The 22,116-nt window shown below is 31.8% G+C and overlaps 1 protein-coding gene across 35 annotated transcripts in view, besides 1 other annotated feature; it reads right to left on the bottom strand.

Moving 5' to 3' along the window:
- The window catches only part of PRKACB (protein kinase cAMP-activated catalytic subunit beta), a 160,420-nt gene that overhangs the window by 59,485 nt on the left and 78,819 nt on the right, over positions 1 to 22,116 (bottom strand). For 4 of the 35 annotated variants that reach the window (NM_001375560.1, NM_001242861.3, NM_001375573.1 and 1 more), the window contains exons 1-3: positions 14,001 to 14,320; positions 5,662 to 5,685; positions 3,958 to 3,981 (exon numbers count right to left, since the gene is read on the bottom strand). The exons of 8 other annotated variants lie outside the window; for them this stretch is intronic. In NM_001375560.1, coding sequence (NP_001362489.1) covers positions 3,958 to 3,981; positions 5,662 to 5,685; positions 14,001 to 14,007 — 55 coding nt within the window. In that variant the 5' untranslated portion in view covers positions 14,008 to 14,320. Of the gene's footprint in view, positions 1 to 3,206; positions 3,216 to 3,957; positions 3,982 to 5,661; positions 5,686 to 14,000; positions 14,321 to 14,591; positions 14,710 to 22,116 lie in introns of those variants that run through there. 23 more of the 35 variants (NM_001242857.3, NM_001375581.1, NM_001375569.1 and 20 more) reach the window with 9 other exon arrangements.
- Positions 11,959 to 12,008: a silencer, noted in NCBI's record as "silent region_1017". NCBI's record gives its function as "represses an Ori minimal core promoter by ATAC-STARR-seq in GM12878 lymphoblastoid cells {active_cell/tissue: GM12878}" and the evidence as "EXISTENCE:reporter gene assay evidence [ECO:0000049][PMID:35858748]".

Genomic DNA, 22,116 nt, shown 5'->3' with positions numbered 1-22,116 from the left:
CTCTAAGAACCTTCTCAAATCTCTAAGATTCTCTAATATTGTTCTATAAAGAAACCACTTTGATAATTTCAAATGTCATAACAAAAATTCTGTTCCTGAAAACATACTAGAAAGTAATGTAAGAAAGTCAGAAATTAATTTAGGACAAAATAGTGACTGTAAAAAGGCCATCAGTAATATTAACGGAGCCTTTAGATACAAGAATTGAAAACATGTGGAGAACATTAACCTACTGATTCGTGGAATTTCAAAAATAGTTGATCTTGATAAAGAGCTGTTTTCAGGTGTAAGGATTTATGTTATGTATTAGATTTGTGTTCTCTTTACTAATGGCAAAGGGAAAAAATAAAAGCAAAGACTAGCACATAAAGGACACCAACAAAGACTTAAAAACAGAACAAAACATCGACAACAAAAAATCCAGTTTAACAATCTCATTCTAAATTTGCAGCATAAACTAAATGTCTGAATACCCAATTTAAAATGCACTAAAGTAAAGCAATTCAAAACCAAGTGTTTGTATATTGATTAATAATGTGGGTATAAAATAGCCACATTATTTTATAGAGCTATGGTTTGAAGTTTTAAATTTGTAAATTAAATGATGAACCAGTTAAAACTTTCCCCATTTTCAAAAGCTATCTTAGAAAACAACTTCAGATGTTTAAAAACAAATAGGAAAAATATTCCAAAGAGATAAAATAGCATTAACAAAATGTATTGTTGTTCATATCTTTAGGTATAAGAATAAAACCTGACTATACTAGTGAAGGGCTCACAAATTCTTTAAGATTCTCAATGATACAGTAGTATTGAAGTGAGATAGGTACCTATTTTAAAACATACTTTATTTTTCCTCCTTTATAAATGTCATACCAATGTCATACCTTTGGGAAAATACTGTTACTAACCAAAAAGGCTTTTGGCATTTTAAATGTTTTGAGATTTCAAAATGATGATGACAGGCACCAAGAGCAGACATTAGTTTTTAAGTAACATTAGAGTATGAATCTCTGAAGACATTATTTTAGTACTTTCTATAAACTGTCCTTTGTATTTTACTGTAAAATACTCTCAGAATGCCTTTTTTAGAAAAACTGAGAAAAAGAATTTTTAAACTTAGAATTTTCCCATTGTAGGAAAATCTCATGCACTAAAACAATGAATCAAAGAATTTTACCTAATCATCCAAATATAATCTAATTCTTCCTGAGGGGTGGATTAAGGGTGGCAAATTCTTACATTTTCTCTTTTCTTTCTATTACTTTTTTTAAGACTGGGTCTTGCTCTGTCACTCAGGCTGGAGTGCAGTGTCATGATCACAGTCCACTAGAGCCTCAGACTACTAGGCTCAAGCAATCCGTCTGCCTCAGCCTCCTGAGTAGCTGGGACTACAGATGTGCACCACCAAGTCTGGCTAATTTTCTTACTTTTTGTAGAGATGAGGGTCTAACTGTGCTGCCCAGGCTTGTCCTGAACTTTTGAGCTCAAGTGAACTTTCTGGCTCAGCCTCCCAAAGTGCTAGGATTAGAGGTGTGAGCCACTGTGTCCGGCCAAATTGTTATTTTTTCTTGGAATTTAGGATGGTTCAAGTCATCCTTGCTTCTAAAAATGAATGTGCTAGTTACAACAGAAAAAGAGTAATTTTATAGGTAAGATTTTCTTTTTTTGCATGGAGCAGACATATCTGCACATGGCATTCACTTGGACATGATGGCTATAAATTAAATTAAAAACATAATTTATTGCAACATGCACTGTGGCATTTAAGAAAAAACAACTTGTGATTCCCAAAATATACCCCTTGTTTCTTCTGAAAAATATTTTTAGTTATCTTTTATTTATAGAACTTGCACATCAAGTTGCAATATAAACTCTCCAGATGCCTATATGAGTATAAATAATTTAGAGACAAAGAAAAGAGTAAGGGAAGGTAAAAAAAACAACTTTAACATCCTGTTTCAGCTTCTCCTGTCACTTTATGCTAAGTGGATCTGGAGTTAAGAAAAAAGTAACTGATCAAAGGAAGGACTGACAGTATTTGTCAAAGATGGTAAGTTGAAAAAAATTCCTTTTCCCTGCCTGGTGATAAGCTAAAAGAAAAATTTCCGGCATTATTTAATTTTATTCACTAATAGAATATGCAAGAAATTCTTTAAAATACTCTCTGTACTCATCAATATTCCTGAGTTTACTGTCAAATAATACTGTAAAAGTAGGGAAAAGTTTTTATAAAGGTCTTATGTGAAAATTATCAGAAATGAGTATTAATCAAATATATTATTATATTTTGTGAATTACTTCAAAATATAAAGGGATTTTCTTTTCGAGTACATTAAAGGATGGGCACTAAGTATGATGTTATTAAATAGTTCTATGAGGAAAACCTGTTCCTGAAACATTTTTTTTCATATAAAAATATCTACACATATGAAATCTCTAGTTTTTATGTGTACTATGTAGATGCAAAGATAAACATAATTATTTGTAAAAATATAAGTTAATCAAAATATACATCTTTTAATAACAAATCTACCAAAAATAAAATATTTCACAATATATTGGATTATGTGTAACCCTAAAACAATAAGCAATCTAGAACCACATGCATTTGCTTTGAATTTTATTATGTTTAGATATTGGTGGATGTAACTTCTAAATGCCTTTCTCTTCTCTGGTTATTTAAAAAATTTCTATCCACTGAAATAAAGTGTTGGCAGATAATTAATAAAATAAGATGTGACAGAGACAGCCAGATTCAAATACTGCTCCACATTCAACCCAGAATTCCCTATAAAGCATATAGTTTGAAGTTCTCAATTATTTAGTTTACTTATTGTGTTCTAATATATAAGCCATATCTACATTTAACCACTTAAATTATTATGATGGTTTCAGAGCTTGGAACATCTGAGTTAGAATATTAGCTCTAATACTTCCTAGCTGTGTGACCATAGGTACCTATCTCCAAAGCATCTAACAGTGATTAGTAACTCTTCTTAAGAAAAAAATCCTTCAAAGAATGATTTTTCTGAAACACATTTTATTCTCTACTGGTAAATAATTGAACAAAGTAGATACTACAAAAAAGAGGACACACAAAAAATTAATTTATTCCCAAAAGTATACATTTTCAATTATATATTTTTTCTGTTTGTATGATTTAAATAGTCTATCACATTGCATTCTAAAGGAAATGAGCATACCAAAGGAATCTACATGTTCACCCAAGATTTGTTTGCAGGAACATTCACCCACATTCAAGAGATGAAAAAAAAAAGAGAGACAATTTTTATGCATTTTCACAAGTTCATAAAAACACAACTTACTTCTTATCCCCCCTCAAATTTTTCAATGTATTTATACATAGAACATAGTTTAAAAATCAGATTTTAAAGTTTATTTTAAACATTAGGAAAACTGACTGAAAATTCAGGCACAGCATAACTTCATCCCATATAATTCAGGTAATTCCACTATAAGAATGTTTCACTATTAACATTTAACAAATGTATTTATTAGATATTTTTGACTGCTGTGTAAGATAAACTAGGTTACTGCTTATGATAAAAAGAGTATGTTGTTAGTCACAGTATACCATTATCCAATTCTTAAAAGAATATCATTCATATTTTGTATTAAGAGTTTATAAATCTTTCTTCTACTTATTTATCTTTCTTTTACTGTATTAATCTTTCTTCTACTACTTTGTACATCTACTGTTTCATGGTGCTACAGTTATTCTTTCTAAAATACCACACAAGAAATTACAATATAAATCATTTATATAGATAAAACCCAACAAAACTAAACAAACTATTTCCTTCATCAATGAAAATATTTCATTAACTTGATATACTTAAAAATATATAACTTTATAAGGAAAATAAAAACTTGCAAACAATAAATAAAAAATTTTAAAGGTAATATTTGTTTTATTAAAAAGTAATTGCCTACCAGATATTTCTGAAGAGGAGCAAGCTTGTGTCCAAAAAATAAATTAGAAAATGATTAAATTATATGAATAACATATTAGCATGAAGTCACCAATACGCATTTTTTCAGAATACTATATACAGAAATAAAATGTTAATGTAGAAATTCAATTATTTGATTGTATGTATTCAAATAAGTTATCTTCAAATTAAATGGTAAAGAAATAAGTAACTATTGTTTAGTGCCAAAATCAATAACCTTCTTATTTTCCTTAAAACAACAACTAACAAAAACTTTAAGTTCTCACAACAATAGTCCTCATAACAATATTAAGAAGCAAATATTGACATACATATCCTGTAACTATTGCAATACCATCTCTGGAGTTCTGTTATTCAGTCAAAATCTACTGTAGGAAAGACATTACGCATTATAACACCTGGTTTCTTCCTTTTGAAAAACTTTAGTATTTTTCAGTCATTCCACTTCCTCAGTGCTGGTTTAACAATCTTTTCAACAGTATTTATTGAGCACCATTTAGTGGTGTCAGATTCTGAGCTAGACTCTGAATACTACAAAGAATAAACATATTTCCACTGTTAAGGAAATGAGAAGCTTACATGAATCATCATAATGGAATGGGACAAAGACTACAACAAAGGCAATTATAAGGTGCTGTGAGAGCTGGGAGGGGGAAATTCTTGGACAGTAAGGTAAGGCATAATAGAGAATACAGCATTTGTGCTGAATCTTGAAAGATAAGAATTCCTCTGGCAGATAAAGTTGGGGAAAAAGACCTCCTAGGCTGAGACGATCTTACATAAATGGCATGGAAGAAGAGCATGGTTTATCCAGGAAACAGCAACTGACTTGTAATAACTGCAGCATCGGGGACATGTAAAACATCAGTGGGAGATGAAGTGCACAGGCAAGCAGATGCCGAATCAGGGAGGCATTTTTTGGCATAGTGATGCTTTTCAACGCATGGGTAGAAACAGAAGTAAACTGAGTTAGTTCACAGTTGCTAGATTCTATTTCTTCCGGGAACCAGAAGGCAAGATCTTTTGCTAAGGGAGAGGGGAATAGGATAAAATAATGAGGGATGATGAGGATTAGACGTCTCAATATGTTAGATGTTGATGGCTATTTTTGTAGGGAATAAGGAACAGGGCTATTAAAAATTTTCTATTAGAGAAAGATAAAATATTAGGAACCACAAGCAATAATGTTTTTAATAGTGTCATTTTTGTAATAACAGTTTAAAAATTTGTTACTGAAAAGATAATAATTCATGCTCCTTCTACTTTGTCATTAGTTTCATCTCCCTCTTTTACCTTAATAAAAGCATTATTCTATTTAAGAATTATTTAGTGCATGCCAGAAAGAACAAAAGAGGATGGAAACTAAGGTAAGTTACCTATGAAAATACCAAGTTCTATCATTAAATAACAGCAGAAAAATCTCTGGAAAGTGTAAATCTAGGGGAATGCATTAGTCCATCTTCTTCCACCCCTATTCAAATATCTACCTCTTTAGAGCTTTATTTGGTATTTCTAAAAATACTCTCCCCCTCCCCACATACACACACACTAAAAATATTTTCAGTAAACAGAATTGTAAAAACTCAACACAAAATATTCTAATTGCCACAAAATATCTCATAAAAATTTAGCTTACGATAATCAAAGTAACAGAATTATTCTGTAAAAAAAGGGGTTTTCCTACCAGATGCATCTGATGATTTGCGTGCTTGATCAAAAAGAATAAACAGAGATTAAATAACACATAAAATAACATACCTACAAGAAGTTACCCATCTATACATGTTCACTACTGTACTGCACATAGAAATAGAATGATAAAACAATTGAACATACATACCAAAAATGTATTATATAAGGATTACAAGAAATTCTTTGGATATCCTTTTTTTTTAACCAACCAAAACTCTTCTCTGGAAATATGTTAATAAATTATCATCTTCTGTCCTTTGAAACTGAAGAATAATTGTGTTCACTTTGCTGAAGGGGCACTTGCCTCATCATATTAAACATACTGATTCAAACTAAATTCACTATAACCTTAAAAATGATAGCGAGTATAAAAAACAACTTTAATACTTCAGTTGTAATTGTACAGTTTATTGGATTGGACTATGCCTACCTTTGATTTCTAAGATGATTAATTAGTCTTTCTATAAAGACTAAAGCCACATATATATGAGTATTTGGAAGTTTAATAGGCAATGAAAGTTACACTTCCTATTACAAAATTTATTTTACTCTTCTTTCCTCTCTGTGTTTTATTACTTGTTAATTTTTCATCAAGTCTTAGTTACAAGTGAACAGCATAATTGACTGACTCACTGAACTGTGAAAAATAAAAATTTTTACTATAGTTTTATATGGAAAAATATAAACACTTTTAATGAGACATATATTTAAATAATCATTCTAGAAAGAAATACATTAACTTATTTGACTAGCATCTACATGGATAGATGGATACACTATGAATTCACACAGTGTATTCATTCACAACTAATCATATGTACATGCCTTCTCTCCCAACAGCTCTCCATCTGGGGATGCTATGGATTTTGTAGGCCATCCATGCCATGTTTGACTCGTGATGTTTCCTACATAATTTTGTAATGAAAACTCAAAGTAAATTTATAGTCATAAAACTAATGACCCAGGCAATCTTTGAAATGCTCCTTGAAGTATATTTTACTTCCTTAATTGTTCAATGAGGCTTTTTCCTGTAGCAGTATTATATCTACTACAATCATATGTCAAGGATTTTCCAGAAAGGCCTGAATTCAAATATTTTGTCTTGTTTCCCGACAATATGGAGTTAAGAATGGATTCCTAGATGATAAGGAATGCACAGTATCAACTTCGGCAGTAACAAATGACTCAGTAAATGGTAGCATCAATTTATTGTCCCACCATATCCTTGATGCTCTATATCCTCAACAAAATTTGTTAATGTTGGACTTTCCATTTTTTGCTAATCTAATGAGTATAAAAAATCATGTCTGATTGTTAAAGATTAGGTAAATATCCCTCGGTAGAATTTTATACTTTTTCCCTTAAAGGTCTTATTACACTTTTATTAGATTTATACCTAGGTTCTTTAGCACTTTGGTTGCTATTGTAAAAGGGAGATTTTTAAAAATTACCTTTTTTGTTTGTTGCTGATGTATAGAACATAGTCGATGTTTATATATTGATTTTTTTAATATCTGGCAATCTTGCCAGATTCTGTTATCAATTCTGAAATCACATTGGTAGATTCACTTGAGTCTTCTATGTAACCAATCACAAATCATTTGTGAATAATGACAATTTGGTTCTCTCCACGTTTTTCTTGTTTTACTGCTCAGGTTATGACTAACAGTACAATGATGTACAGAAACAATGGCAGTGGACATCCTTTTCCTATTCCCAACTTCAGAGAAAATGTATCTAATTTTCTTTTCCTATACTTGACTTGTAAAACTATTCTAGAATCAGTAAATGCATTTAAGAGTATTTTCTCTTTTTCAATGCTCTGGAAAATTCCATACAAGATTGAAGTTTTTGTTCTTTGAAGGTTTCCTAAAACTTGTATGTAAAACTCTCCAGTCCTAATTTTGTTAAGTTCTGCATAAAGATTCTGTGATTCAATTTTTAAAACAGGTATAGTTCTATTTAGTACTTTAAAATATTTTCCCATAAACTAACCTTTGATTCTCATGTATCTTTATTTTCTATTCCACCCACTGATCTTTGCTCGTCTTTATCAGTTTCTTTCTTCTTTTGATTAACCATGTGGCTTTTTAAACTTGTTTTCTTATATCATGAATGTCTTTCTTTTTCCTAATTTGAGCACTTAAAATTTAACTCTATATCCACTTTTGCTGCACCCCACAAGTTCTGATACATAGTTACACCTTAAATTTACGAGTTAATTATTTGGTAAGTTATTTAAAATGTTTAAATCTCCAAATGTATACATTTGTGTGATTTTTTTAAAGCTTTTTATTACTGATTGAACTTAATTGCCTTGTGGTAGTTAAGTAATTAAGAATTGATATACTGTAGCCTGTATATCAATCATTTGAAATTTGTTGAATACATTTAGTCATATTATTAATTTTGTAAGTGTTCTACATATTCCTATGTATTCTTCAATTACTGGGTAAGAATTCTCTATCTATATCTATAAAATTTCTCCTACATAGGTCAATTTTGTTTTGTATATTTTAAGGCTCTGTTAGAATTACATACATTTTTTCCTCATATTTATTTTTATGTCACTAATTTAATATAGTAGTCATATGTGATAATTTTACTATGTCTAGTGACATTATTGGCAGGTTCTAATCCTGTTGTATCTAAATATCATTTGCAGTATGTGTGTAAGTGTGTGTGTATTTTGTTTTTGGATTGTGAACACAAAGTTCATTGGGGCTTTATCTGCGAGAAACCTGCAGGTCTTGGTCTGAGAATGTGTCCCAGTATAGGATTTTGTATTAGCTGGTGTAGAGTATATGTTACAAGCCTACAACTCTTCTGATAATGTGTTTTATTGGTTGTTCCTAGACCACACAATTAATACAGATTAAAAACTGAAACCTGCTTGAGAGGAGGCACTTGATTAAAAATTCTCAGGAGAGGCATCCTACACATGCACACACATCCCTCCCCTGTTCCCAGGAACCCAAGCCAAGAAACACAAGCTTCCTTATTTTCTCCTTTTGTCAGTGGAGAGGTTTTATTTTCTCATCTATGCTTTCACTGAGGTTATGATCCTTGCAGGATCCTGGCTTTATACAGGGGGCTAAGAAATCCTAAACTGTATGCATTAAACAACCTATCATCCATCTCTGTTAGGCCATTTTAAACGAAAGCCCCACCAAGGTCTAAAAATGTCCTCAGGGCAGTTGAAGTATGCTTCCCCTTACAGCTCTGGTTCTCATTTACCACTTCAATTTTTGCACTTTGGGAATTTATTTAATTTTAATTAAATTAGAATTCACTTAAAGGGTAAATTCAGGTATTCATTTAAAGGGGCACTTGTTACAGTTTATTCAGCATTTCAAGGTGCTGTTGATCTTAAATAATTTCTGCCCTCAAAAGATTTTTAAGTTATCTAGTCTCCAATTTTGCATTTTTTTCTTTATAGGACAAGCTTCATGTTAGATTGTAAGATGCAAAGACATCAGAATGTTTATGGATTTCATTTTTTTATGCTGGAAATTCCAAATGCTCACCAGGATGTATTTAGGCATTGGCATCTTTGTTAATCTTGTCAAAACAAAATGAGGTCTTTCAATTTAAAGATTCAAGTTTTTCTTCAACTAACAAGTTTTCCTGAATCATATTTTTGATTACTGCTTTTCTGTTCTATAAATCATATCTGCTCTGTTCTGTGGAATGCTATCCATTCAATTTGTAAAATGTCCTTTTATTTTCTTTTATAATTTCTTGTCCTGCTTTTATTTAACATACTTTCCATCTTATAATTTTTATCTTGTCCATTTCCTCTACATTCTATTAGGGTCTATCTGGAGAGATCTTCACATTATTAATTTACTTTTCTGCAATGATTATTCTGGTTTTTATTGCCTCTAATGCAGCTTTATATTCTAAAAATGCCAGGTTTATTTCTTACAACTTTTTCCTATCACAACATTATGCTTCTTTTCCATTCCTGCCTCTCAGCCAGTAATCTTTTCATTCTAGGTTCTTGTTTTATCTTTGTTTCATGTCTTAGTTCACTAACTCCATGCTCACTTGAAATTTTAAGAATTAACACAGATGGCATCTATAATTTTTTGTGTTTATACTCTCCTGCACAAATATTTTCTAAATATAAGTTCATTCTCTACCTCTTGGAGACTGTAACTTTATCGTTTTATGGTGTATAACCTCTTTTATAGGTTCCACATTGTTGCTTTTCTTTTTTATTCATTCAAGAACAATTACAAGCTTTTCAAAACTTTACAAATGCCCCAAATAAGGTAAGTGGTTTTTCTTTGGCCCTTCTCATTTCCTGTTTAGATGCTGTTAGACTAAACTCTTCACATCATTTAGCGTACACATATTTACATTATCAGGTAAGTAATCCAGTGACCTTCATAAATGGGAATGTGGCCAGGACTATAGGATTCCTTGCTGGTAGTGATGCCTTCTATGTCAGGAAAGAGCCTTCTATATTTAAAGAGAGGCCACTTTTCAACTTGAAAAGGCCTAATACATTCTTGGTTGTCCCACTATAGCTGTTTTAGAATGAAAGTAATGAGCAGTGTTGGATCTTCCACTTATTTTCCTCATCCCTCCCAGTTAGTGAGGGTGAAACTATTATTTCTTTCTTTTCCATAAAGAAAAGCTACTCAAGTTAAAACTGTTAATTAGACTTTGGAGTCTGATCATCAAAATCCTGTACATATTTGGGCAAATAACCATCTTTAATTTCAGAAATGATGTACTGCTTTCCCAATTTTTTTTCTCACAGTATTTTCAGTCAGAATCTAGAAAGGGAAATTAATGAAGTGTTGGTATTCAAGTCTGTATGGTGCTGTAATTCATAGCAGATTCATGCCTTCTTCTTCAGAGATTTGCCCTCAACTACAGCTGGGCCAGGATTCTCACCCAGGATTTTGATATAATGATGCTAGTTACATCAAAAAGCACATGAACTAGGAGAGCACATAAACTTTGAAGCTTTCAGATGACTAAGCTCCATTTTGCACAAGCATCAGAGAAACCTATTCGCTACACAGTGAGGATAATAAAGCAAATACAAGGAAAAAAGTAAAGACGTCATGTGATCTCAGAGAGAAAAACTGAGAAAGGTACTGTTATGATTCCAGTCAGCTTTCCAAATCAATTCTACTCTTTGGAACAGCTCAACTCTACTTTTGCCTTTGAGCTCCATGACATCCTCTGCATCCCAATAATACCTGTATCTTCTTCTGCTTAAGCTTATTTGAGTGAGTTGCTACAACCTCTAAACATAAGGGCCTTACAATAGTTTGACTGATTTTCAGAGAAGTTCCTTTAGTATTTCTTTATAGACCTTGTTTGCTTAACAAGGGCAAAAACTTCACAAAAAGAGTTATGAGTAAGAAAAACATTTAGAAAGTGAAGGCTCTTTTCACATATAACCAATTTTTTAAATACTAGAAAGATAAAGGTACTGACTGGTACAATTTAGTTTCTTAAGCATTTTATATGACTTCATCCTACAAAGTTGATAAAGGAACAAGTAAATACTATGGTTATTGTATTTTTCTGAACCAAAAAAAGTCAAAACCCACACTGGTATTTTTCACTGGCAATGTAAGGGAACTGTTCAAGTATGTAAAAATGAATTATATTTAGTTTATCATTAATTCTATAAGTATTTATTGGGTACCTTGCTGTGTTTGGGGTACTGGGGTGACTACTAGAAACATACAATGAATAAGGCACTGTCCTTGACTTGAGTTCAACATTTAGAGATTAGAAAGTGACATACAAATTTATAATTTCAATATAATACAATAATTGTTGTAGTTTGTAAGTTTGCTTTGGGAGTACAGAGAAATCACCTAATTCCACAGGGTCAGTGTCGGAGGTAATGACTGGTTCTCTAAATTTTTATGATAAAGACTATAAATATGGAAAGGTAGCAAGGAATTATATGTAATATAGTATGGCTAGATCAAAATTTGTGAGAGAGATTTTGCAAACAAAACCAAAAAGGTAAGTCATTGATTGCATGTGACCTAATAAGGAGTTTAACTTTTATTTTAAAGGCAATAGGGAGTAACTGAAAGTTTTCATGTTAGTTTAAAAAATGGGCATATTTGCATTTTAAAATTTTCAGTGTGGAAAATGGCCTGGAAGGATATAAAACTGGAAGCTGGGAGACCAGTAATGCAGTTATTATAATAGGATTGAGAAGAGATCTAGAAGCCATCCCAGTGTCAGTAAGACTGGAGAATATTGAGTGATTTTTGATGTAGAATCAATAGAACTTAATGACTGAGTACATGTCTGAGGGTAAGAAACAAGTTAGAAATGACCAAGGTTTCTGTTTTCACTTCCTGTATGGGCAGTGAGATCATTAACAGATATCAGAGTCAATGAAAATGGAGCAGATTTAGGGATGATAAAAGAAAATCCACTTTTGAACTGAACGTTCAGGTAATGACTGAAGATGTAGGCATGGATGAGATTTTTTGGAGAAAATGTAGCATCAAAAGAAGGCCAAAAGATAGATTCTCAGAGAAAACCAACATTTAATTGGCAAAGGATAAAAGGAATAGTCTTATAACGAGAAAAGTACCATGTACACATAAATATCACATGTGTAGTTACAGACTTAGATTAAAAGGCCTAGCATTTGCTTATTTTTACAAATAAAACCACACTTCTCTTGTAATTTTCCAAGTTGAAATGGCTAGGACACTTAACCATTTATGACATGATTAAAATCAGTTGAAATTGGGCATTCTCGACAAAGTCAGAACACCTAGTTGTGATTACTATGATTATTTGTGGTATAAAATGGCTAGAAGGGAAAGCCAATATGATCAAATATATCAAATGCTATCTACAATGCATAGCTTTTTAAAGAAAAATAAAGCAATAGTGAAGCAATAACATTTTCCTTCAGCTAAATCCAATCCATCCTGTTGTAAAACCTCCAGAACACCATGGTGGTTACCTAAAGATTCTAGATTATATGCCAAATTTTCAAAGAGAAAATATGCATTGGCCTGATTCAAATAAATATATGTATGACAACCAGGTATATTCAGTTTGATATCCATAGAAATCCTAAGGAATGTTAAGTTGTTTTTGTAATATTCGTTCAAATTTAAAACAGCAGATTATTTAAAACAGATCTATTTCAGTAACAGGAAAATAACAATCCAGTTAATTCTTAGTATTTTGCATGTTAAAATGTCCCTTTAATATCTAATATTATTCTATAAACAAATATATAACAGTGTTTAAGAGGTTTATATTGTACTGTAGCAGGATAAAGAATATTTATTGGTTATAATGAGGTGATCTCCAGTTATGAAAGAAAAGGTTCGTCAATTTTGAATTCTATCATTATACAGCAAAAATCCACCTTTCAGTTTCTAAATTCCAATTCCAAATCTTATAAATGCAAATTATAGGACTGTTATGTTATCAGAGAAACCATATTCTACTTCTCTTAAAAATATCTGAATCAAAGGTTAACTTCCAAGCATCTTATTTAAGCAAAAGATGCTAATGAATTATGCTCTAAGCAAATGTTTTTCACTCTAACAACAGGATATCTATTTTTAGCTGCAGGTTTGGCTTGAAGTGACAGCTTTTACCCTATGATAAACTGCAGTACATACTGTAGTATATTTTTTCAAAAAAACAGTTTTGGAAATATTTAGAAAAAATAAATCACATTATAACAAAAAAGACTAGTTGTCACAAGTGTACTTATTCTAAAAAATTATTTCCCCCAAAAACTGTTTATTAAAAATTTTAACAAACCCTACAAAACCAAAATGCTCTAATTATTTCATCATTAAATCCTTATTTCTCAATAAATTGTAGGTAAAAGCAACCAAGACATCAACAAAATTCTGGCAGCATCTTATTTTCAAAATTACTATTTAAAAAATCTAATAAAAATAATCTAATAAAAATTAGCATTAGGAATGACAAAGCTAATCAAAGGAAAGTTAAACTAATTATCTTCAGGATCAGATACTAAAAGAAAATCCTCTCTTATGGTTAGTCTACTTACTAATTTATAACACAATTAATAACAGTGCCCAACAAATACAATAAATCGAACCATAAAGAAAATTAGAAACTGATTATTGGTATTGATTATTAATAGTGCCATTAATTGTTTACAGTTCTTACTGGTTTTTGAAGGCAATTTACTATAATGCCTAAGTACAAAAGCGTCACCACAAAATATAATTCACAGTAGCTGTGGCTTTATAACTGTCCCTTTAAAAATATTTTTTCCTCTTATAAATATATTTTTTAAATAAACAGCTGCAGAGTCTCAGAGAGCATACTTACCACTCATGATGAAAACCAACCTTTCCAAAACATATTGCTCAAAATAACAATCCAACAGCAAAGGGAGTTATGCTAATCTCTAGAGGGAGAAGAACCGATGGTGTAAACACACACACTGGAGCATGCAGCACACAGAAAACGAAAAGAGCTTTCTTTTGTTTTAAAAAGAGAAGCCCCTAGAAGCAAAGCATAACTGCCTAGCATGAGATATCACTAGTAAACATCAGATTAATGCCAAAGATGTCTATAACTAGACTGAATTTCTTTCAAGCTAGTTATCCCAGCCTCCTTCATATACCACTAGAACAACTCAAAATGGCAGGGAGAAAATGTTCGAACCAGGATGTATAAGATGTTCTCAATTATATCAGCATGAGTTGTTACCACGGCAACATTAGACCAGAATTATCGGTTCACTTGTATCCAAGGCGTAGCTTTTCTAAAGCTTTAATCCACCAGACAAATAAAATACCTTTTTATTTTAGAGCCACATGATTATAAATTACCAGATTTCTTAAATTTAAGCACTAATCTACGCTTTTTACATCTTTCAAAGATATGAAAAAATTGCTGTTTTCTTCAAATACTCACACAATCCCATGTTGAACCTGGCAAGGAGCAAACAGCAGAATGATTGCACCTAAACGTCTTTCAATTACACCAGCTCTTACTGCTAGCTGTGGACCTCACTGATATTAAAATGCTGTGTGCTGTTGCTAGTGACTATTGGCGATGAATCTTATTGCCGAGATCGCTGATAGCTTTCATTTTTCATGAGCCAGAAAGCTATACTGCAGCACAAATGTTAACCATTTAAACATTCTGTGTTATGGAAGAGAATAATATTATATACATATATGTATATCTGCATTTTTAAAGGAGAATCATAGAATAACTTATTTGTAAACTTCCATTAAATTCAGCATTACAAACAGTGTCAGATGCCATCCATGTGGTATTCAAAAGAAAATAATACACAAAAAAGTTACTGGCAATTATTGCAGAAATGTAAAATTCCTCACATGAAACAGGACTAAGATGACAGATTGTATAGCAAGGTGGGCTGACTGGGTAGCATGGTGAACAGATTGTTTTGATTACCAGAGATCCAAAATTTGTACCAAAATGGTACAAAGAATCTATAGAATGGTTCCTTGTTAAGTAGAACTTCAGCACGTGAACTTGCCATTTTAACAGTTGCCATGTGAGGCAGGACTTTTGGTGATGTGGAAGTAAGTCAGGAAATCTTCCTAAGAAACAACTATGAAGCTGAACAGAATTATCAAAAACAATGATTTCATGGCTCTGGAAATCGAGCAGTCATAAACAACAAATTAAGAAACATTTATTTGTGACGAACCACTGAACTCTGCCTAAAAACAGTGGGAGTCAGAGATGTTCTTGCCTGGGGCTGCTCCCACTCCTTTATAGCTCAGTCAGGAGAGTACTTCTACCAGGGTAGGGCTGGTCATGAAAACTAGCAGCTTCACTTCTGGAAGGGGCTGACATGAGAGGGGGCTGATTTGATTTGAAGTGGAGGCCAAAAAACTCATTAGTGATATTGTCAACGAAAAAAGCAAGCTGAAAGAAATTAACAGTCTAAGGCTATGGCCTTGGTAGGGCTAAGCAACACATTGGTGGTATAGCAAGAAACATAGCATGGGGTAAATGAAGATGAGACAGACAGAGGCTACGTAAGTTCACCAGGCCACCCAGTCTGCCCACCTTGCTATGCAATCTGACTAGGAGGTAATGACAAGCACAAAGGACACGAAAGAGGGCCCAGTGGAAAGTTAAAGCTGGTACAGACTTCCGAACTGCCTAAATACTGCATGTGCTCCTCAATTTGCACACAGTTCCATCAGCACTGGCTGGTCCCAGTGTTTGAGTACAACCTCTGATCAATCATTAAATAACAATTAAGCTACAGAGACACAGGGCAATCCCTAGGAAACCAGGTTAAAAAATAAAAATTAGAATAAGAAGAAAAAACTAAGCAGAGAAATCAGTAGTCACATATCATGAGGGATACAGATTCCATAGATTAAGACAAAGGAAGTTTTTAATAAAAAAATAAACAAAACCAACCCTCAGGGAAAAAATAATCAAAACCCAGAGCTACTACCACATGTTATTTTAAAAAACACATTTTTGACAAAAACTTGTGTGATCCACAATGAGGAAAAAAAGCAGTCAATAAAAAATGTCCCTGAATGGGCCCAGGTGTAGAATTTAGCAGACAAAGGCTTTAAAGACTTTAAAATAGCTATTATACATATATGAAAATAATTAAAAGAAAATTGTGTTAAATACCTAAAGGAAAACACGACAGTAATGAACAACATATAGAAACTTTCAATATAGAAAGAAAAACTATTTAAAAATAAAAAGTGCAGATTTGAAAAGTATAATAACCAAAATTTTAAAACTCAGTATAGTAAGCCCAACAGCAGATTTAAAAGAGCAAAAGATCAAATCAGTGAACTGGAAGATAGATCAATGGAAATCATCCAGTCGGAAGAACACAGAAAAAGACAGGAGAAAAGTGGACAGAGCCTGAGAAACTTATGGGATATCAAGGGAACCAACATATATCTCATGGGAATTAGAAAAAAAGGAGAGAGACAAAGGGTGATGAAAAAACATTTGAAGGAATAATGGCTGAAAATGTCCCAATTTGATGGAAAACAGTAACCTATGGATCCAAGAAGCTCAGCCAATGCCAACTAGAATAAAACCCAAAAGATCCACACTGAGACATATCATAGTCAAATTGTTGAAAGGTAAGGAGAAAAGTCATGAAAGCAGCAAGAGAAAAATGATGAATCACGTCCAGGGGAAAAATATGATTAATGACTTCTCATTAGAAATAAGTAGGGCCAGAAGGCAGAGAAATGAAGTGCTAAAAGAAACAAGAAAGCAAACCCATCCACCAACATTTCTCTATCCAGGAAAATTATCCTCCAAAAATAAAGGTGAAATGAAAGATTCCCAGAGAAACAACGGAGGATATTTGTTGTAAGCAGAAATACCTAAGTCCTTAAAGCTGAGAGGAAATAATACTAGACAACAGCTCAAATTGACAGAAAGAAATGAAGAGCACTAAAAATGGTAAATATATAAATAAAAGGCTATATAAATACACATTTTTTCTGTTCTCTCTTAATTTCTTTAAGAGACTTAAAGTTGTATGAGGCAATAATTACAACATTATGTTGCTGGGTTTATAAAATATATAAATATATGTGAAAAAACACAAATTTGGAAAAGAAATGAAGCTATATTGGATCAAAGCAGTTCTATTCCACTAGAATTAAGTCAGTACTATCCTGAAGTAAACTATGATAAGATAAATTATAATCTTGTGTATTATAATCTCTAAAGAAATATTAAGAAAATGCCTTTTAAATTTTATTTTTAAAAATCAAAACCAAATAATTAAAACATACGTAATAGAAAAGAAGGTGGTAGAAAGGGAAAAGAGGAACAACAAAAACTATGAGACAGAAAACAGTAAAATGGAAGCTACAAATCCAACCATATCAATAGTGACATTAACTATGAATGGAAGAAACACAAATCAAAAGGCAGAAATTATCAGATTGGATAAAAATCAAGATCAAACTATATAACATCTATAAGAGACACATTTTAGATTCATAGATATAAATAGGCTAAAGTAAAAACAGGAAAACAAGATTCATCATGCAAACAGTAACCATAAGACAGCTGGAATGCCTATATCAATATTAGACAAAATAGACTTTAAGTCTAGAAAAATTATGAGACAAAAGGGACATTCATAATTATAAAAGGCCAATACATCTGAAAAATGTGACAATTAGAAATGCATATGCATTGAACAGAAGAGCCCCCACAGTACTAAAATAAAAACGGACAGAATTGAAAGGAGAAAAATATTTAATACTAATAGTTGGAAATTTCCATACTTCTCTCTCAATAATTGATGGAAAAACTAGACAGGAAATTGGAAAAGAGACAAACAACTTAAATAACACCATCAAAAAAATCTTGACATTTATAAAATACAGAATTTAACATCAGCAGAATACACATTCTTATCAAGCACACATGGATATTCTACATATTAAGCAAATGCTAGAAAATATAATGTCTCAATTAATTTGAAGGGTTTGCCAAAGCTTTCAAAATATATTCTATAATCACAGCAGAATTAAGTTATAAATAAAAACAGAAAGAAATTTTAGAAATCTCTAAATATTTAGATATTAAATCACAAACAAATTCCAAGGGAAATTAGAAAATATTTTGAGGTAAATGAAAATAAACTACAGCATATCTACATTTATTGGAGGTAGATAAAGCAGGTTTAGAAAAAAAATTCATAGCTTTAACCATTTAGAGTAAAATAGAAAAGTTCCAAATCAGTAACTTAAGCTTTGTATATATTATTATATATTATAGTATTATATTATATATAATATATTCAGTAAAATATATAGAAAAGCAGTAGAGAAAAATGAATTAAACCAAAAGTCTTATGATAAAACTTTCACTAGACTGACCAAATATCAAAACAAAATGAACAAAAAGAAAACAGAAGATATTAATTACAGAAATCAGTAATGAAACTATGATATCACCACTGATGCTAGATAAATTAAAAGGATTATAAAGGAATACTATAAACAACCTTATCCCAATCATATAAGACAACAGATGAAATGGAAAAACTCTTAGGCACAAATTACCAACACTAACTAAAAAAGAAATAGAAAATGTAAATAAACCTGTAACACAAATATTGAATTAGTAATTAAAATTTTTCCCACAAAGAAAAGCTCAAGTCGAGATGGCTTCACTGGTTAATTATATGAAACATTCAAAGATAATACCAACCCTACACAAACTCTTTCAGAATTCAGAAGTGGCAGGAACACTTCCCAACTCATTCTAAGAGGCCTAATACCAAAGTTAGGCAAAGATCAAACGAAAACCACAGACCAATATCCATTGCAAACATTGATGCAAAAACCTTTTATCAAAATGCCAGCAAACTTAATCTAGCAGTATATACAGAGGATCATACACAATGACCATGTGGGATTTATTCCATGAAAGGTAAGGTTGGTTCAACATTGAAAATCAATTAACGAACTATGTTATATTAATAAAGTATAAAACCAAATAATCATCTCAATATATGCAGAAGAAGCACTCCACAAAATCCAACAGCCATGAGAAAACCTCTCAACAACGAGGACTAGAAAGGAACTTCCTCAAACTGATAAAGGACATGTGGGGCAGGGGAAACTCTATACTTATGTCATATTTAATGATGAAAGATGGAACGCTTTCCCCTTAAGATAGGGCATAAGGCATTCACCACTTCTATGCATCTTTGTACTGGGAAATCTAGCCAGTGCAATGAGGCAAGAAAATAGATATTAAAGGATAAAGAAGAAATAAAACTGTCTTTATTTGCAGATGAAATTATTCTATATGTAGAAAATTATAAGGAATCTATAAAGAAACTACTAGAACTAAAAAATGAGTTTAGCAACATCATAGGATGATATAAGATCAATATAAAAATCAATAACATTTGTATATACTAGCAACAAACAATCCAAATGTGAAATTAAGACTTATCCATTCACAATAATATCAACAGAAATAAAACACTTAGAAATCATTTTTACAAGACTGGAACGCTAAAGAAATTAAAGAATATGTAAATAAATGGAGAGACATTTCATGTTCATGGATTCCAAGACTCAAAATTGTTAAAATAACAATTCTCTACAAGTTAATCTATGAACTCAATATATAATCTCTATGAAAATCTAATAAAGCTTTTCTTTAGAAACTGACAAATTGATCCAGAAATTTATATGAAAATGCAAAGGACCCCAAAATAGACAAAACAATTTTGATAAAAGAAGAACAAAGTTGGAGGACTTACACTATGTGATTTCAAAACTTACCTTAAAGTTTTAGTAATCAAGACAGTGTAGTATAGGAATGAGGACAGACATGTAGTTCACTGGGACAGAATTGAGAATTCAGAAGTGAACCCTTTCATTTATGGTCAACTGATTTTTGAGAAAGATGCCAAGATAATTAAATAGAGAAAGGAAATTCTTTTTAACAAGTAGTGCAGTAAAAAATGGATCTACATGTTGAAAAAAGAACTTCAATTCATACTTCACAACATATATAAAAATTAACTCAAAAAATAGACTTTTAGAAGGAAGTACAGATTGAAAATCTTCATTACCTTGCGTTAGATACAAATTTCTTAAGATCTGGTACCAAAAGTACAATCCAAAAAGGAAAAAACGATAAATTGGACTTCACTAAAATTACAAATTTTGCTCTTCAAATACATCATTTTTAAAAATGACAACATAAGACAGACTAGAAGGAAATATTTGATATTTATATTTTTGGAAAAGAACTTAGTTCAGAATATACAAAGAATTATTGAGAATTGATAATAAGAAGAAAAACGACTCAATTTTGAAAGTGGGCAAAAGATTTGAAAATACATTTCTCCAAAGTACATACACAAATGGGTTATAAAAACTTGAAAATATGCTCAACATCATAAAGTTATTAGGAAAATACAAAGTGAAACAACTGTGAACAACGGATTCACACTCACATAATGGCCATAATCAAAATGACTGATAAGACGGGTGCAGTGGCTCATGCCTGTAATCTCAGCACTTGGGAGGCTGAGGCGGGCGGATCACTTGAGGTCAGGAGCTCAAGCCCAGCCTGGCCAACATAGTAAAACCCCATGTCTACTAAAAACACAAAGATTAGCCGGGAGTGATGGCGCATGCCTGTAATGCCAGCTACTCAAGACTGAGACAGGAGAATCACTTGCGCCACTGCACTCCAGCCTGGGTGACAGAGTGAGACTTTGTTTCAGGAGGGGAAAAAAAAAAAAGAAAGAAAGACTGATGATACCAAGCATTGATGAGCATGTGAAAAAACTGGAACCCTCTTACCTTACTGGTGAAAACATAAAATGGTACCACCACTTTGGGAAACAATTTGGCAATTTCTTTAAAACATAAATTTACCATATGACCTAGAAATTCTACTTCTAGATATCTACCCAAGAGAAATAAAAACATATGTCCACACAGACTTCTTTTCAAATATTTATAGCAACATTATCCAAATGGCCAAAAACAAACCAATTCTCATGTGCATCAACTGCAGAATGGATAAACAAAATGTATTATATCCATACAACATAGTATAATTCAACAATAAATCGGAACCAATTATTAATATATTCTATAACATGGATGAACCTAAAAAATATTATTCTAGTGAAAGAAGCCAAAAGTAAAAGATAACATATTATATAATTCAATTTATATAAAACATCCAGAAATGAAAATCTATAGAGACAGAAAGCAGATCAGTGTTTATCTGAGATTGAGGTGAGAGTGGGGATTGACTGGATATGGGTAACAAATGAACTTTGTGGGTGATTAAATGTTCTAAAACTGATTTGTGCTGATGGTTGCGCAAATCCTTAAATTTACTAATTAATACTGAATTATACACTTATAATGAGTGATTTATATGGTTATGAAAACATACCTCAATTAAAAAAAAAGTTGTCAAATGCTTCTCTACCGAGGAGGAAACAGTTGGCTTGAAATAGATCTTTGCTGTGGGAAGAATCATTTCAGTGGACAATTTAATTATGCAAATGTAAGGCTGGTAGGCATCCATTACCTCAGGGGAATGATCTAACAAAATCTTTTGAGGCTTCATAAGGGCCATGCCTTCTCAATACTCTGTGGTAAACAGAGATAATTAAAGTAAAGAAGGTAAATAGATCTGCATAAAAAAATGAAACAGGAATTCTGAAAGGGATCAACTCCTAGACTCCATCCTCCTCAAGGTTCAGAATTACAAAAATCTCTTTCATAGATTTTAGTGATAGGTCTGTGGCTTACAAGTAGGAATATATGCTTAAGGAGGCTTTATCAAAGGGGAAATGATAATCTGGGTTGGTGATTCAGGCTGAAAAGTAGAGACATTGTAGGCTAAATCCAAGTGACTACAGAGGCCAGGCAGGTAAAGCAACAGAAATAGTGAATGC

Source organism: Homo sapiens, chromosome 1 (assembly GCF_000001405.40).
Source record: "Homo sapiens chromosome 1, GRCh38.p14 Primary Assembly".
NCBI classification, from domain to species: Eukaryota; Metazoa; Chordata; class Mammalia; order Primates; family Hominidae; genus Homo; species Homo sapiens.
Note: the sequence above shows the minus strand (reverse complement) of the source record. Positions and strands in the feature narration are given on the sequence as shown.